The sequence below is a fragment of the Homo sapiens genome, chromosome 16 (genome assembly GCF_000001405.40).
Source record: "Homo sapiens chromosome 16, GRCh38.p14 Primary Assembly".
Lineage (NCBI taxonomy): Eukaryota > Metazoa > Chordata > Mammalia > Primates > Hominidae > Homo > Homo sapiens.
Genome location: NC_000016.10, coordinates 33739886 through 33759877, shown reverse-complemented (window position 1 = coordinate 33759877; position 19992 = coordinate 33739886). Strand labels below are relative to the sequence as shown.

General features: G+C 35.8%; 1 non-coding gene across 1 annotated transcript; it reads left to right on the top strand.

Annotated features, from left to right (window-relative positions):
- The first annotated feature begins 1876 nt into the window (after positions 1 to 1876).
- On the top strand, positions 1877 to 18088 carry LOC102724207 (ankyrin repeat domain-containing protein 36C-like). Its single transcript, XR_001752130.1, has 7 exons — positions 1877 to 2169; positions 14147 to 14175; positions 14270 to 14342; positions 16028 to 16056; positions 16151 to 16223; positions 17902 to 17930; positions 18025 to 18088. It is a non-coding gene; the product is annotated as an ankyrin repeat domain-containing protein 36C-like (transcript).
- The last annotated feature ends 1904 nt before the right edge of the window (positions 18089 to 19992 follow it).

Sequence of the window (19992 nt, the reverse complement as noted above, 5' to 3'; positions counted from 1 at the left end):
AAGAGCCAGGAAGGTGACTTTCCATTATGTCAAGCTGATGTGAGATAGTTTGCTGAGCTATACTGCCTTCACTTCATGAGTACTTCACCTGTTTTTATTATTTAATTAGAAAGGTACTAAGAAGTTTGTAGAGCTTACAGAAGAGAAGTGTATAGGATAATTAACATCCTGATATTGTTCAAGATACTCTAATAATTTAGTATATTTGGTAAATGTTTTTGATAATGGTATTAAAATATTAATTTCATTTATTTTTATACATAGCATTGCCGAACTAATTTCTGAATACAAAAGAAAGAAATATGAAGAGCTTTCTATAAATAGCAATCCAGGTAAGATTTATGATAGTGAATTACTCTTGATGGTACTACCATAGATAAAAAAGAATAAAGATGTTTTGATTACAAAAAAACAGTTTAAAAAAATCAGTTTAAATTGCACACATTTAAAAAATACTTAGTAGTCTAGATTTTCTAATTATTTAAAAAGTTAATTGTAGGTAGTTTATAATCTCATCTCAGTATTGTTTGAAAAAATTATTATTTTATGATGGTTCCTAATATTCTAGATGATCTTTCTGTGTAAATAAGAAAACAAATTTTTAAGTTATTACATTGCATGGTTTTTTATAGTCACATAATAATGAATTAGACTTTTTATATAATTAGAACTTCTATTTAACTTGTAAAATAAATTCTTTGCAGTTAGTAAATGAATCAGTAATTACAGTTGGCCCTTGAACAACATGGGATTTAGTGCTGCCAATGCCCATGCTGATGAAAATACATATTTGGTATGTTATATATATTATATATTGTATTCTGAGTACAAGAAAGTAAGCTAGAGAAAGGAAGTTTTGCAGTAGTTAAAGCTGTAGTTTCCTTTTAGTTCGATGCTTGAACTACTATCAATCTAGTGTAAGGTGTTCACCCATCCATGATAAAATAAAGTAAATTTACTCCATTTACTCATTTTAAAATGTTGGTCTTTTTCTTGCCCTTATGGCTTCTTCATTTGTTTTACTTAATTTTTTATTTATAAAAAAATAATAGTTGGTAGGGACTTTTTTCCTGTGAAAACCATCAATGAAGAGGCCATGTTGATCTAGGAAATATAAACATATTTATTTGGTAGCAGTAGAAATATAAAGCAGAAGCAGAAAAGAGGTACAGTTAATATGATTTAGTGAACATTGAATATAAAACATTAGTGGGGAGAGAGAAATCTTGGATCATTCATAGGTTTCCAGGTTGTGTACTGGCCTTTATACTGCACAGGAGAAAGGAGTAGGATGTGTTCACTGAATGGAGAAGTACAGCTGGTCAACAGAGAAGAGTAACTTCCCTTCCCTCCAACTCTGAGGTTGGAGATGCAGACGTAGAATGATGTTGTTATAATTATTAGGCAAAGTCATCGATCTCAACTGTCCATGATGCAGATGTAGAATGAGAAGGCATCCAGTGACAAAACCCTGGGAATGTCAACATTCCCTCCCGCCCCCAGGAGAAAAAGAATTGGTAAAGGAGAATGAGCAGTGGCTAGAGAAAAGTAGGAGAGGAGTCAGAGGAAGTGATGTGGCAAAAATAAAAATGTGAGAATTTTAAGGAGGGAGTATCAATTCTAACAAGTAAGATTACTAAAAAGCCAATTAGATTTAACTTTTAAAAGCTCTTTGGCAGTACCCTTTTCAAAAGAACCATTTTTGAGGTGTAATGTGAGCTGTTGATGTGATTGGTATATCTGGTGTCCAAATATGGAGGAACAAATCTACCAAGATCCTACGTAACTCTTTTGTAACTGCAGAAGCTACATGCACAGGGTCAGGGAAAATGGTCTTGACTTCTGACATGTGCCCACTCTTTTACAGAACTGTCAAAACCTAAGGGTAATGTGTGAGAAAAACTGTGGTCTTCTTATCTGCTCCTTGTGGAAATACTTAGTTTGTACTGAAATCCCTGATAAGTTCTTCTGGATGCATTCTGAAACAAAAGTCTGGCAGCAGTAACTGGAACCAGATTGTCCAAAGCACATACATCCCAACTCCCTCCAACATGGAATCATAACACAGCCACATTTCGAGAGTTTCAAGTTTCAATTGGAAGTAGTCTACAGACGAGCAGTTTGGAGAAGCTGACATCTTTTATATAATGTTATGGAGAAAAATATAAGGTGATATGCTAAGTATACCAAGTCTCTGTGTTCTGGGACACTTTGTTTTAGTGCAATTCCCTTTTCATGACCTCTTCTAATATCTCTACTTTTACTGTTTTCTTTTGAATTTCATCCCTAAAGAAAATATTATTAGAACACATTTCTAACATAGGTATTTTTGACAACTATATATGATTTTCTTTTAAGAGAATTAGCTACCTATTCTAAAGTATGTCTGGTATTCTATTAATCTTTAATGCTAAACTTCTTTATATCTTTAGCACAGTGACAGTGTAAGTGATGCTGGTCCTTTAAGATTTTAAGTTTCTTTTAAGTTTTCAAACTTTAAGTGTCTTTTAAATTTTCAAATTAAGTTAAGACACTTAAGGTGTCTTTTAAGTTTTCAAACTTGACATAGTTTTAATGTAAAACACTTTTCTGGTGCTATATTTCTTCGAATATTGGTAATCTGTTACTTAGCTGGAATATTTGGTCGGTTGGATTACCACACCTTTAACCATCTATATATAACTTTCTTGATTTTTTTTTTTTTTTGAGATTGAGTCTTTTGCTGTTTCCCAGGCTGGAGTGCAATAGTGTGATCATAGCTCACTGCAGCCTCAAACTTCTGGGTTCAAGTGGTCCTCTTACTTCAGCCTCCTAAGTCGCTGAGACTGCTACAAGCATATGCCACCACACCAAGCTAACTTTTTTATTTTTTATTTTTTAGAGACAAGGGTCTCTCTCTGTTGCCCAGGCCAGTCTCAAACTTTTGGCTTCAAGTGATCCTCCTGCCTCAGCCTCCCAAAGTGCTGGAATTATAGTCATGAGCCATCGTGCTGGTCCATAACTTCCTTTATCCCCCAAAATGAGTTTAAAGTCCTATTGGCCCTTAATAATAAAAACCCACTGTTTAGGAGGAGAAGTGGATAACTCGTCTTATATTTTAAATGCAGTTTTTGACTTTTTGACCTGTTCTGTGAAGAACTGCCTTTAACAGATGATTTTTAGTTTTAATAGATATTTTTAGTTTTATAAGAACTTAAGAAAAAAGATTAGAAACAAATTAAATGAGCTCTATGATTGATAGTACAGTATTATAACCAATGGCTACATATATTTCTATAATTATCACAATGACCTGAATGATGCAAATTATTTTACATATGTTTTTATTAATATATATATATATATTTTGAGACTGTGTCTCACTCTGTTGCCCAGGCTGGAGTGCAGTGGTGTGATCTTGGCTCACTGCAACCTCTGCCTCCTGGGTTGAAGTGCTTCTCCTGCCTCAGCCTCCCTAGTAGCTGGGACTACAGGCGTGCACCACCACGCCCAGCTAATTTTTATATTTTTAGTAGAGATGGGGTTTCACCATGTTAGCCAGGATGGTCTCCATCTCCTGACCTTGTGATCCACCCGCCCCAGCCTCCCAAAGTGTTTGGATTACAGGCATGAGCCACCACCCCCAGCCTACTAATACATTTTAGAGACAGGGTCTCACTCTGTTTCCCAGGCTGGAGTGCAATGGTTATTCACAGGCACAATCTCCACTGCAACCTCGAACTTTTGATCTCAAGCAATCTTCCTGCCTCAGCCGTTGGAGTAGTTGGGACTACAGGTGTGTGTCATTGTGCCTGGCCTGATCCCCAATTATTATAAAAGAAACCTTGGAGAGTTGAAGACAATTGGCTGTGATCTTTTTGTTTCTCTTCTAGAAGCTTTCATACTATGGGGTATATTTTTAATCATCCATATTCTCAATTTTTTATTCTGGTTAAAATAGGATTGCTGCTTGTTTTTCATTTTTTTGGCATAATTATTTCTATTCCTTTATGGATTTATTCATGTGGAAATACAGGAATCTCAAAGGCAACTGTTAAGGAAAACAGATTAGGGAAAGGTATTCTATAAACAGCCTTCTGATTGTAGTCACAGGTCACATCACCTTAAAGAAAACTAATTTCATGTAATGCCACTGTGTCAGAGTTTCCCAAGACCACCTCTGTGTTTGGTGATTCACTTGTAAGGACTCAGCAAACAGTCCTACTCTGGGTTTTGATTTGTTACTGTGAAATAATACAAAGTAAAATTGGCTCAGGTCAAAGGGGCATGTGGCAAGTCTTGGGGAAGCCAGGCACAAGCTTCCAGGAGCCCTCTTCTGTGAAGTTACCAGGATGTGCTGAATTCCTGTAGCTTTGAATTTTGACAGCACATGGGCAGTATTGTCTACCAATATGAGTCTGACAAGACAGTATCCAAGGTTTTTATGGAAGCTAGTTACATAAGCATTCTCTCTCACACATATACAAAAATTCCACACTTCCAGAAGAAAAGCAGCTGTTCAGAGTCAACCACATTGTTTATGCAAACAGTTTAGGTACAGTGAGCTACTTTTCTCAGGAAATGGTGACAAACCTTTAAAATGCAAATTTCCAAACACCAGCGAAGGGCCAGTTTTGCATGTAGGCATTTCTAAGAATGACAGTCTTATGACTGTTATATGAATTATTTTCTTCACAGCAGTTACAGCCCCAACTTAATTTTAGTGTCTTAAAAATTCTATTTAATAGTGAATAACATGGTGATATAACATAGCATGGTGCTTATTTCATTTGCGTCAGTTGCAACTTAATATGAAATACTAAGTTTCTGTGCTGTTAGATTTTGGAATTTTGGTGAATATTTAACAGGTTTCTATACAGAAGTTACTATGGTAATATTAGGTAATTATAATCTGTTCTTATTCAATTAACCTTTCAGTAAAATAGATAAAATAAGTAATGATTTCTGATTTAAAATTAAAATAAAAAATTTGTTTCATTTTAATTATATAGGTTTCAGTTTTGTTTTATATTTTGTTAAATTTCTGTTTATAATTATGAAATTTAAAAAATCAATCATTTATCCATTATTTTCTTGCCTGTTAATATAGTTATTTGCTTTATGTACTTTTATATACTATAATTCTGGAGAGAATATTCATATTGTGTTTCAAATTGAGTACATCTTGCTATAATATATGGCAATATATTATAGCAATATATTAGTAATAGAAGATGCAGTGAAAATCTTTTAAAAAAATTAATAACTTTATTTTAAGAGCAGTTTTATATTCCCAGCAATATTGAAAAGAACCTAAAGAGATTTTTCATATATGCCATCCCCCCTCACATGCATAGCTCCCCCCATTATGAATATCTCCCACCTGAGTGGTACATTTGTTACAACTGAGAAGCTTACATTGCTGGATCATAATAATCACCCAAAGTCCATAGTTTATATCTTAGTTCCCTTTTGGTATTGTACCTTCTATATAGTTGGACAAATATATAATAAATGTACCTGCCGTTAGAATACTTTCGCTGCCCTGAAATTCGTCTCTCTTTTTTTATTCCTCCCTCCCAACTAACCCCTGTCAACTACTAATATTTTTGCTGTCTCCATAGTTTTGATATGTCCAGCATAGTCATATATTAAGGATAATATAGTGGATATCTTTTTCAATATTACAAAACATAAATTTCCAAGATAATTGAATGTATTCAATTAAGCTATCCATTGTGCTTTTTTGCTTTTAGTTTATTAATGTAGGATTTAATGGCATATGCTTTACATGTTGAAAAATCATAATTTATATAGACATTTGCCACATAATGAGGAGGGTTGAGGAAAATGGCTTCATGCTGTGTACTACACAGCACTAACTGGATCATCCTTCTCTGTGAGATGGGTCCAGATAGACTAGAAGTGGAAAGGGACAATCTCAAGATGCTGTACTTTATAAAACTGGAGTCAGAAAGTCTTTCCTATTTACCTTGCAGTTGGAAATAAGACCAGCTAGTGAATACTATAGGCATACAAATATGTTTCTTATTTACCTTCTTTCTTTGAGGGATCAGTTTGAAAACAGTCTATATTATTATAACATGACTCACTTATAACTAGGTTCTCCATCATGAAAAATGCCAAGAGAGTCATACTATTTTTGTTTACCTAAAGTGACAAAGATTTGTTGTTGTTGTTGTTTTTCCCACTAGGTAGTGGGACAACTGTTGGCACATCTTGGTAGCTCCAGTGAGTTTATGGTTCCTTTATATATATTTTATATATTAGAAAGTCCTCCCTGGCAACTTGCCATACCTCCCCGGCATTTCTTTATAAGCTTCTCTCTGAAAAGGAGACAAGACTCAGATTGGATAAGCTTTTAAGGGAGTGCTATTTCCTCTGTGTGTGTTTTTTTGAAGGAGCTAAAATGAAAGCTGAATTTAAGCATTGTTTGTGCCCTACATAGGGTGAATGAATAGCTAGAACTAAGCAAACTTACCAGAATCTTCCCTAGGAGAGGATTAGTGAAGGTAAGGATACTGATCTCTCTTAGGCTCTTCTGCACTGGCAGCTGAAAAGTCTTTGCAGGGATCCTTGACCCTGGTCTGTATGCTGTGATTTGCCATAGAATAGAGTACAGTTTTCATAGACCTAGATTTTTTGTATTAGAGTGCTTTATCCTGAATAGTTTAAACTGAAGAAGTGGAGAAACTTGTGTTTCAACAAAATAAGTACAGTAATTTCCTCTTATACATGGGGGATACATTTCAAGACCCTTAGTGAATGCCTGAAAACATGAATAGTGCTGAACTCTATGCATACAACAATTTTTAAAAATACATATATATCTATAATAAAATTTAATGCATAAATTAGGCACAATAAGAGATTAATAATATCTAATGGTAAAGTGGATCAATTGTAACAATATACTGTAATAAAAGTTAAGTGAATGTGAGCTCACAAAATATCATGTACTATAGTCACCCTACTTTCTGCACTGATGTGAGATGATAAAATGGCTATGTGATAAGTGAGGCAAATGCAGTAGGCATTGCCATGTAGTCTTGGGCTATTATTGACCTTCTATTTGACTATATGTCAGAAAGAAGATCATCTGCTTCACGTGATCTTGGATCCGTGAGCCATGATGATGTTGTTGGTTGGATGTTAGGTACAGATTATGTCAATGACTAGTGAGCAGATATCATATATAATGTGCATGCACTTGACAAAGGGATGATTCACATCTTGGGCAGGCTGGGATGTAATGGCTCAAATTTTATCATACTACTCAGAATCTTATGCAATTTAAACCTTATGATGTATATACATCTGGAATTTTATTTATGGACCATGGTTGACCGTGGGTAACTGAATCTGCAGTCAATAAAACCACCAATGTCATATTATGAAATATGTATTTGGTCTTCAACCCCATTTTCTGTCATACAACTCCTAAAATCCTCAGAACTTCCAACATGATATCATTTGTATGCTAATGATTGACTTATGGCAGGCAGCCTCCAGATGGCTTCAGGGTGGGGCTCATCATCAGAGTGATCAGGGTGTGATTAGAGGGTTGGGGCTTCCAGCCCCACCCCTCACCACCTGGGATGTGAGAGGGGCTGAATGTTCAATTAATCAGTCATGCCTATGTAAGGAAGCTTTCATAAAATCCCAAAAGGATTGGATTTGGAGAGCATCCAGGTAGCTGTATTCAGCTACCTGGATGCTCTCATTCAATACATGAAGGCATATGGAGAATACATGGATGTTCCCAGAGGGTGAGTGCCCTGGGAGGACATGGAAGTGTGTTACTTTCCCCCCATATCTTGCACTATGCATCTCTTTATCTGTATCCTTTAATATTCTTTATAAGAAACTGGTAAATGTGTTTCCATGAGTTCTCTGAGCCACTCTAGTAAATTAATGAAACCAAAGAGGGGGTCCTGGGAAACCCAACTTGAAGTCCAACTGGAAGTTGATTAGAAGTTCTGGAGGCCCAGACTTGTAACTGCTGTGGGGGAATAGCCTTGTGGTACTGAGCCCTCAACCTGTAGATAATCCCCAAGTAGATAGTGTCAGAATTAGAGGGCACCCATCGGAATTGATTGTTTGCTTGTTGCTGGGGAAAAATACATATTTGGTCACAGAAATCTTCTGTGTTGATGATTGTTGTTGCGGTGTGAGAGAAGGGGAACATCATGTTGAATATGTGTTTTCTACACATACAGCAGATAAGGGGGACTGCTGTTCTAGCTGCACCTGGTTCATTTGTCCAGAAATCATGTTCTTTGACAATGCCTGCTCATTATATTGATTCTACTAATGATGCCATTTTCTGTCAGTCTGATATAATTCTGTTAGAATTATGACTATTTTATACCGCAATTCACATGTAAGGTAACAAATTTTGATAATATATTCTTCTTTGCATTTGATAAGTATATGCTAAGCATGTAAGAAAGGAAATAAGAGTTCTTAATTCATTAGTTGCCTACAAATAGTATAAATAATAATTTTAGTATAGCCTCCAAGTATGTTTCTAAAGCACTGCTTTGTAACAAATCATGAGAGTCTCTGTAATAAAGCATCAAAGTCTTATAATATTTTTCCTACAAGGTCTAAGGCATGTACAAAAGTTCATGATTTGTTTTTTCTTTTGAGATGAAGTCTCACTCTGTCACCCAGGCTGGAGTGGAATGGCACAATCTCGGCTCACTGCAACCTCTGCCTCCTGGGTTCAAGCGATTCTCCTGTCTCAGCCTCCCGAGTAGCTGGGATTACATACGTGTGCCACCACACTTGGCTAATTTTTTTTTTGTATTTTTGTTGAGATGGGGTTTCACCATGTTTGGCCAGGCTGGTCTCAAACTTTTGACCTCACGTGATCCACCCGCCTTGGCCTCCCAAAATGCTGAGATCACAGGCATGAGCCACTGTGCCCAGCCTCCATGATTTTTTTTAGTAAAGAGTCTTGCTATGTTGCCCAGGCTGTTCTCAAGCTCCTGGGCTTCTCAAGTGATACTTCTGCCTCAGCCTTCTGAGTAGCTGAGATTATAGGGACAAGCCACTGTACACACATATATATATATACACACACACACACACCAAATATATGCCCAGTAATGGGATTACTGGCTCAAATGGTATTTCCGGTTCTAGATCCTTGAGGAATCACCACACTGCCTTCCACAATGGTTGAACTAATTGACACTCCCACCAACAGTGTAAAAGCATTCCTATTTCTCCACATCTGCTCCAGCATCTGTTGTTTCCTGACCTTTTAACGATTGCCATTCTAAATGGCGTGAGATGGTATCTCATTGTGGTTTTGATTTGCATTTCTCTAATGATCAGTGATGATGAGCTTTTTTTCAGATGTTTGTTGGCTGCGTAAATGTATTCTTTTGAGAAGTGTCTGTTCATATCCTTTGCCCACTTTTTGATGAGATTGTTCTTTTCTTGTAAATTTGTTTAAGTTCCTTGTAGATTCTAGATATTAGGCCTTTGTCAGATGGACAGATTGCAAACATTTCCTCCCATTCTGTAGGTTGCCTGTTCACTCTGATCATAGTATTGGAAGTTCTGGCCGGGGTAATCAGGCAAGAGAAAGAAATAAACGGTATTCAAATAGGAAGAAAGGAAGTCAAATTGTCTCTGTTTGCAGATGACATGATTGTATATTTAGAAAACCAAATTGTCTCAGCCCCAAATCTCCTTCAGCTGATAAGCAACTTCCTCATAGTCTCAGGATACAAAGTCAATGTGCAAAATTCACAAGCGTTCCTATACACCAGTAATAGAGCACTAAATCATGAGTGAACTCCCATACACAATTGCTACAAAGAGAATAAAATAGCAAGGAATACAACTCACAAGGGATTTGAAGGACCTCTTTAAGGAGAACTACAAACCACCACTCAAGGAAATAAGAGGACACAAACAAATGGAAAAACATTCCATGCTCATGGATAGGAAGAATCAATATCTTGAAAATGGCCATACTTCCCAAAGTAATTTGTAAGTTCAATGCTATACCCATCAAGCTACCATTGACTTTCTTCACAGAATTAGAAAAAACTACTTTAAATTTCATATGGAACCAAAAAAAGAGCCCATATAGCCAAGACAATCCTAAGCAAAAATAACAAAGCTAGAGGCATCATGCTACCTGACTTCAAACTATACTACAAGGCTACAGTAATGAAAACAGCATGGTAGTGGTACCAAAAGAGATATATAGACCAATGGAACAGAACAGAGGCCTCAGAAATAATGCCATACATCTACACCATCTGATCTTTGACAAACCTGACAAAAGCAATGGGGAAAGGATTCCCTATTTAATAAATGGTGTTGGGAAAACTGGCTAGCCTTATGCAGGAAACTGAAACTGGACCCCTTCCTTACACTTTATACAAAAATTAACTCAAGATGCATTAAAGACTTAAAAGTAAGTTCTAAATGTGTAAAAACCCTGGATGAAAACCTAGGCAGTACCATTCAGGACATAGGCATGGGCAAATACTTCATGACTAAAACACCAAAAGCAATGGCAACAAAAGCCAAAATTGAAAAATGGGATCTAATTAAACTAAAGAACTTGTGTGCAGCTTTATTTGGGAGTGTGCGTGGGGTACCTCTGAGTTGTAAAAATGAAGAAAGTAAGTAGTCGTGCTTTCCTGACTCTTTGGTAGACATAGCCTTTTAAGACAGTCATTCTGAGCTGTCATGGTCTTAGGGTTTTCTATACTACTAAAACTTATTGACGACATCTAACCAAGAACTTAATTTTTTTTAAAAAAAGAAAAAGAAATCACCCAAATACACATTAAAAACCTCTTATAACATATGTGCACATTCATAGATAACATGTAGAACGTGATTTTGTGTATTAAAACCTTGTAGAAAAGTTCAGACAGTGCACACAATGACTGCAACTTGGTCTTTGTAAAATCAGTGATATATATTTCAGATCTATCCACGTTGACCCAGTGAGGTATTCGATTTATTGTATGATCTAATGATATGCCATGTGATGACTGCAGCATATTTAATTATGCTCTCTTCATGCTGATACCATATGGACATAAATATGATGAGATACCAGCATGGATATGCTTATGTGGTTGCTTTTAATGACTTGTACTATATTAGAAATGAAACAGAAGTATTGGAAATCCTAGCAAGCATAGCTGTATCTCTCCCATGGCTGTGTTGATTGCAACTGTTTCCCCCTTAAAGCATGTCTTTTTGACATGTCATGATCCTGAGAAAATCCAGTGTGTGCTTTTCAGAGAATGACAGTAAGGAGAGGAAATGGCCAATGGTCAAAGTGTTACTTGTCCTCTTGACTCCCCCTCATGAATTTTAAACTCTAAACTACTCAGGTCACAATTTAGAACCCCTTTGTTGATCCCTATAGAGTGTTCCCAGTTGTCAAATGACAAATAGGCTTTTGAAGAAAAAACACCCTGTAAAGCCGTATTGCTCTGGTTTTTGTGTGTGAATGTGTGTGTGTGTGTGTGTGTATTTTTTTCTCTTCTGAAAACTGTAAATAGAATAATTTTCATTACAGATGAAAATATTTCTGTTCCATATTTATTTCCTGTCTCATGGCACTCTTCTCTTCTTGGATCTAGTAAGGATCTCAGCATGTCTTATTTATACCTGCAAAAAATTACATCATTCTTCATTTTTCATGTCAATTACTGACATGTTTTCAAGTCTTCACAAGTTATTTCTGAAGATGTTGGTGCATTGAGGAGAGGCAGTGTCATTGTAGTTAAAGAAGTTTTTAAATAGGTTATGTTCAATAACATTTCAGAGCCCGTTTCTCTGGAAGGCATAGACATAGTGGTTTTATGTGTAGTTAAACATAAAATAGCTCCACAAAGTCTTGTGTACGTGAAAGTGTTCATATCCTGGAAGATTCTAATTTACTACTCAGTACTTTCTCCTGGAGAGGAAAATAGGTAAGATAGGCTGCTAAGCCTATGATAATAACTCATGATATGAGGTGAAAGCATAGAGACAAAATGAGAGATGATAGATACTCAAACCGATGTGAGTGAAGAACAGCTGTGAAAGAGTGTCTATGGGAGAGAGAAGGCCATGGGGCTGCTTTTGTGAAGAAGGAATTTGTACACATTAGTCAAGTGTCTGATACATTTAACATTTTAATAAAGCAAAACCTTATCTTCACATGTGTCAGAATGGGATTGTACAGATGTCACAATACAGTAGTGGTGAGAATAATGAAGAAATGAATGTGGAGGGCAAAGAATGAAGTCCACCAATATGGATATTAGATTTATGAATGAAAAGGAGTGTATGTCAAATTGGGCAGAACAAAGAAAGTGGCTAGCTAGGTAATTTGGGGGTTTCTGATGAGGAGACTTGTGGGGAGTCACTTAATGGAAAGCGGAAGTTAGAAGGATGAGGGTGACCCCCAGGGTTTCATTTCTCCTCCCTAGAAGTTTTGCACATCAATGATATGTGCTTCGTTCACATCAGTTAGCATATTGGGATGCAGCGTAATCTAGAAAAAGTGTTTTTTTTTTTCTTTAGGAAAGGTGTGTTTGCTGAGGTAGTTATTTCATAAAAGGACCTGAGAGATCCCTATGGTATATTATTTCAAACTAGCTTTAGAAACAAAGTAATAAAAGAATGTATATCTTGAGTACTAAAAAAAACTACCAATATTCTTGGCAATCATGACACACACACACACACACACACACACACACACATATATATATGTACGTATGTATATATTTTGTTGGTTACTAATAAAAAAAGAAGTCTCTTGTAATTTAGAGATTTTGTTTACCTTATTTACATGGGAATCTGATTATGCATGATTTCTTTGACATGTATGTTTTTGCAAAAGTGGAAAAAGAGATGGCAAAAGAGCTGAACTGCTGAATCTGGGAAATGTAGGAATCTTAGGAGCCTTCATGAGTACAAAGAAAATGATTTTTTAAATTATGACTCTAAGTATAACTGAACTCACTTCAGATGCATTTAGAATATTTGCATAAAAGATGATTTGATTTTGGCTGCTCCAGAAACTACTGGAAGAAGGAAAGAGTACTAGAATTCAGATAAACCACAGTGACTCGTTACTTCTCTTTGTTACTATTGGGAATCAGAGACATAGATTTTGTTGATATTAGTCATTCAAATGAAATAAACATGAATGTGCATACATTGGCTTTGTTTTTCAAGGAGCTAACTTTTGGATACAATAGCAATTTAATAAAAATTCCTTAGAGAATAACATGATACTTCAAACCAGACTATTTTAGAAACAAGAATAATGTTGAATTCATTAATTGATTCATAAAATGGTTATTTTCAATGAATATTGGAGTCATTTCCAAATGTGAAAGCTTATTAATATCTAATGCTTGTAGCAGTTTTATTTTGTAGAAGTATGTCAATATTGATAAATGATGATACTTTTTATTGAGGTTTACATATTATACCTTATTGCCGTGAGTAGATGAAAAAACTTTCAGAAGACTGAACTACAGAACACAAGAAACTTGGGCAATAATTACACCACATGGGTCTGAGAAATAATGAATACTGTCTACTAGGATTCACCAAATATATATCCAAGCTGATCAATTTAGGACGCTTCCACTGAGGAGATGTGAAATGTACATTCAGCTGAAGTGTCATCATAATTGTGTACCTTCTCAGTTATTGGGCCAGTTAAAGAGCATGATGAATGATTGTAGTATAATGGTGTATTTCCTTCTCATCTCTTGCACTAAAGACATGTGAGAGCACGTACCACCTGCTTTGACATTGATTCCCAGGTGCGTGAGTTGCTCCTCTGTTTTTAGACCACATTTGTTTTTATCCCTCCGCATATCCACATTGATACTGACACTGTTTCATTTTAGTTTTAGACATGTGACAAATCATATCATGTTTGAAATTGTAAGTGTATATTTCATGAAGCCTGTATTGGTGTTTTCTTCAGTGTATTTCTGTCATGTTCCAGTCCCAAGACATAAAGTATAAAACTTAAAAACCTAAACTAATAGGGGCAGGAGGATACAGCTTGATGGTAACAGTGCATGAATGTATGGATAATTTTATCATATTTACATATGACTGATTATGTATCCCTTTTGCTTTTCAGTGTGTTCTCAGAAACAACCAGCCTTGAAGGTAATTACACATTCATTTCTGTTTTGAACTATTAACTATATAGTCTGTGAAATACACTTTATGTATTGATTATTTTGTCTCAAATTCCATTCAGGCTACAAGTGACAAGAAAGATTCTGTTTCAAATATAGCCACAGAAATAAATGATGGACAAAAATCTGGGACAGGTAATTTTGCAATACACATTTAATGTCATGTTCACTCAGGATAGAAGAGAACTTCTCTTCCCTGAATAAATCGCAGGGGGCTCATTGAATCTGCACAATCTGATTCAGCAGGCCTGAGATTCTGCTTTTGTAATAAGTTCTCGGGTGACACTGATGTTACTGTTCCTTGGCCATGATCTGAGTAGTAAGATTATATTCTTCCCCACAGTGAAATTGGCAAGAACGATTGGAGAGCAGTGCAAGATATAACAGGCTAAGGGACAGCATATTCTTGCTTTAATTCTACAGCCTGTTTCCATTGTAAAGGGAAGGAGAAAGAGATTAAGTAATAAAAATTATAGGCATCAGATCATATTGTTAAAACCACATGGAAGAAGTGATTGGAATAACCCATAAACAATGTAGAAAGAGAACTAAGGAGACGTCTGATGTGGTAATTATTTTACTCAAGGAAGAGGGATTGAGAGGCAAGAAGGAGGGAAAAGGAGATGTTATTTATGTAATTTTGGGGTTTCTGCTGCAGAAACCTGATGGGACTCAACTTCAGATGCATTTGGAATATTTGCATAAAAGAAGATTAGATTTTGGCTGCTCCAGGAACTACTGGAAGCAGGATAGAGTGCTAGAATTGTGATGACACACAGTGACTCATTACCCCTCTTTGTTACTGTTGGGCATCAGAGGTATATGTTTACTTGGTATTAGCTATTCGAATAGGATAATCATGAATATGCATACATTGGCTTTGTTTTTCAAGGAACTAACTTTTGGATAAAATAGCAATTTAATGAAAATACTTTAGAGAATAACATGATCCTTCAAACCAGATATTTTAGAAACAAAAATAATGTTGAATTCATTAATTGACTCCTAAAGTGGTTATTTTCAATGAATATCAGAGCAATTTCCAAATGGAAAAGCTTATTCATATCTAATGCTTTTAGTAACATTATTTTGTATAAGTATGCCAATTTTGATGGTTTATTATACTTTTTGATGAGGTTTATATATTATACCTTCTTGCCATGAGTGGATGGAGAAACTTTCTGAAGGCTAAACTAGAGGATACGAGAAATGTAGGCAAATTATGACACCACAGGGGTGTGAGAAATAAAGAATATTATATACTGGGATTCGCCAAACATATATTTAAGCTGATCAGTTTGGGACACTTCCACAGAGCACTTGAGAAGTGTACATTCAACTAAAGTGCCATTATCATTGTGTACCTGCTCAATTGTCAGGCAAGTTTAAGAGCATGATAAATATTTGTAGTATAACGGTATAAATCCCTCTGATGTCTTACATGAAAAACATGCAGGAGCATTAGTCACCTGCTTTGACATTGATTCCCAAGTGTATGAGTTGCTGCTCTGATTTTAGATCACATTTTTCCTCATCACTCGGCATATCCACATTGATATAGACACTGTTTTATTGTAGTAACAGACATATGAAGAATAATATCACCTATGAAATTGGAAGTGTTTGTTTTGTGAAGACTATATTTCTGTTTTCTACAGTGTAATTCTGTCATGTTCGTGTCCCAATACACAAAGTAGAAAACATCAAAGCCTACGCTAATTCAGGCAGGAGGATACAGCTTGATGCTAACACTGCATGAAAGTATGGATAACTTTATCATATTTACATACGAGTGATTATGTGTCCCTTTTGGTTTTCAGTGTCTTCTCAGAAACAACCGGCCTTGAAGGTATTACACTCTTCATTCATATTTTGAATTATTAACTGTATAGTCTATGAAATATACTGTATGTATTGATTATTTTGTTTGAAATCCTATTCAGGATACAAGTGACAAGAAAGACTCTGTTTCGAACATAGCTACAGAACTAAAAGATGAACAAAATTCTGGGACAGGTAATTTTGCAATACACATTTAATGTCATGTACACTCAAGATAGAGGAGAACTTCCCTTCCCCGAATAAATCAGCAGGGGGCTCATTGAACTGCGCATTCTGATTCAGTGGGCCTGAGATTCTGCATTTGTAATAAGTTCTGGAGTGATGGTGATTCTGCTGATTTTTGGCCATGATCTGAATAGTAAGATTATAGACTTCCCTACATTGAAATTGGGAAGAAGAACCATTGGAGAGCAGTTCAAGACATAACAGGCTGAGGGGACAGCATAATTTTCCTTTAATTCTACAGCATGTTTCCATCAGGAGGGGAAGGAGAACAAGATGAAGTACTAGAATTTATAGGCGCCAGATCACACTGCTAAAACCAGAGGGAGGAAGTGATCATAATAAGCCATAAACACTATAGAACGAGAAGTAACGAGACCGCTGATGTAGTAATTATTTTCCTCAGGGAAGAGGGATTGTGAGGCAGGAAGAAGGGAAAAGAAATTATTTATTTAATTTCAGGGTTTCTGCTCAGGAAACCTGAGGGAACTCACTTCAGATGCGTTTAGAATGTTTGCATGAAGGAAGATTTGATTTTGGCTGCTCCAGGAACTACTGGAAGCAGGATAGAGTGCCAGAATTGTGATAAACCACAGTCACCTGTTACCCCTCTTTGTTATTATTGGGCATCAGAGATATATGTTTTGTTGTTATCAGTTAGTCAGATGAGATAAATGTAAATATGCATACATTGGCTTTGTTGTTCAGAGAGCAAACTTTTGGATAAAATAGCAATTTAATGAAAATAGAGAATAACATGTTCCTTCAAAACAGACTATTTTAGAAACAAAAATAATGTTGAATTCATTAATTGACTCCTAAAGTGGTTATTTTCAATGAATATCAGAGCAATTTCCAAATGGAAAAGCTTATTCATATCTAATGCTTTTAGTAACATTATTTTGTATAAGTATGCCAAATTTGATGGTTTATACTTTTTGATGAGGTTTATGTATTATACCTTCTTGCCATGAGTGGATGAAGAAACTTTCTGAAGGCTAAACTAGAGGATACGAGAAATGTAGGCACATTATGACACCACAGGGGTGTGAGAAATAAAGAATATTATATGCTAGGATTCACCAAACATATATTTAAGCTGATCAATTAGGGACACTTCCACAGAGCACTTGAGAAGTGTACATTCAACTAAAGTGCCATTGTCATTGTTTACCTGCTCAACTGTCAGGCAAGTTTAAGAGCATGATAAATATTTGTAGTATAATGGTATAAATCCCTCTGATGTCTTACATGAAAAACATGCAGGAGCATTAATCACCTGCTTTGACATTGATTCCCAAGTGTATGAGTTGATACTCTGATTTTAGATCACATTTTTCCTCATCACTCGGCATATCCACATTGATATAGACACTGTTTTATTGTAGTAACAGACATATGAAGAATAATATCACCTATGAAATTGGAAGTGTTTGTTTTGTGAAGACTATACTTCTGTTTTCTACAGTGTAATTCTGTCATGTTCGTGTCCCAATACACAAAGTAGAAAACATCAAAGCCTACGCTAATTCAGGCAGGAGGATACAGCTTGATGCTAACACTGCATGAAAGTATGGATAACTTTATCATATTTACATACGAGTGATTATGTATCCCTTTTGGTTTTCAGTGTCTTCTCAGAAACAACCGGCCTTGAAGGTATTACACTCTTCATTCATATTTTGAATTATTAACTGTATAGTCTATGAAATATACTGTATGTATTGATTATTTTGTTTGAAATCCCATTCAGGATACAAGTGACAAGAAAGATTCTGTTTTGAACATAGCCACAGAACTAAAAGATGAACAAAAATCTGGGACAGGTAATTTTGCAATACACATTTAATGTCATGTACACTCAAGATAGAGGAGAACTTCCCTTCCCCAAATAAATCAGCAGGGGGCTCATTGAAGCTGCTCATTCTGATTCAGCGGGCCTGAGATTCTGCATTTGTAATAAGTTCTGGAGTGATGGTGATTCTGCTGATTTTTGGCCATGATCTGAATAGTAAGATTATAGACTTCCCTACATTGAAATTGGGAAGAAGAACCATTGGAGAGCAGTTCAAGACATAACAGGCTGAGAGGACAGCATAATTTTCCTTTAATTCTACAGCATGTTTCCATCAAGAGGGGAAGGAGAACAAGATGAAGTACTAGAAATTATAGGCGCCAGATCACACTGCTAAAACCAGAGGGAGGAAGTGATCATAATAATCCATAAACACTATAGAACAAGAAGTAAGGAGACCGCTGATATAGTAATTATTTTCCTCAGGGAAGAAGGATTGTGAGGCAGGAAGAAGGAAAAAGAAGTTATTTATATAATTTTTGGGGTTTCTGCTGAGGAAACCTGAGGGAACTCACTTCAGATGCTTTTAGAATGTTTGCATGAAGGAAGATTTGATTTTGGCTGCTCCAGGAACTACTGGAAGCAGGATAGAGTGCTAGTGCTAGAATTGTGATAAACCACAGTCACCTGTTACCCCTCTTTGTCATTATTGGGCATCAGAGATATATGTTTTGTTGTTATCAGTTAGTCAAATGAGATAAATGTAAATATGCATACACTGGCTTTGTTGTTCAGAGAGCAAACTTTTGGATAAAATAGCAATTTAATGAAAATACTTTAGAGAATAACATGATCTTTCAAACCAGACTTATTTTAGAAACAAAAATAATGTTAAATTCTTTAATTGACTCCTAAAATATATTTTTTTAATGAATATTGGAGTGATTTCCAAATGGACAACGTTATTCATATCTAATGCTTGTAGCAACTTTATTGTGTGTAAGTACATCAAATTTGATAATTTTTTATACATTTTGATTAGGTTTGTATATTATACCTTGTTCCCATGAGTGACTGACAAAACTTTCTGAAGGTTAAACCAGAAAATACCAAAGTGCAAGCTCATTATTATACCACATGGGTATGAAAAATAATGAATACCATATAATAGGATTCACCAAACATATATCCAAGCTGACCAATTCAGGACACTTCCACTGAGGAGCTTTGAAGTGTGCATTCATCTAAAGTGTAATTGTCATTGTGTACCTGCTCAATTTTCAGGCAAGTCAAAGAGCATGATGAATATTTGTAGTATAATGGTTTAAATCCTTCTGATGTCTTGTATGAAAGACATGCGTGATCCTGGCTCACTTCAACTTTCACCTTCTGGGTTCAAGTGATTCTCCTGTCTGAGTCTCCTGAGTAGCTGAGTTAACAGGTGTGCACCACCAACCTGGTAATTTTTGTATTTTTACTAGAGACCGGCTTTCACCATGTTGGCCAGGTTGGTCTCAAACTCCTGACCTCAAGTGATCCACCCACCTCGGCCTCACAAAGTGCTGGGATTACAGGCGTGACCCACCGAGCCCTGCCTACATGATTTTTTTTTTAAATTTTTTTAACTTTTTAAAAATAAAGATAGAGTGTTTCTGTGTTGCCCAAGCTGGTCTGAAACACCTGGGCTTCTCAAGTGATACTTCTGCCTGAACCTTTTGAGTAGCTGAGATTATAGGAACAAGTCACTGTGCTCTTTTATGTTTTTAATATTTTATAGGTTCCTATTGATTTAAAATGCATTTTACTTTTTGTTTAATAGTGCTTCCTGCTGTTGAACAGTGTTTAAACAGGTATGATTTCATAGATTTTTTAAAGTGATATGTTAACTTAGTGAATAGAGAGAATAGAAACTAGTATCCATTTAGT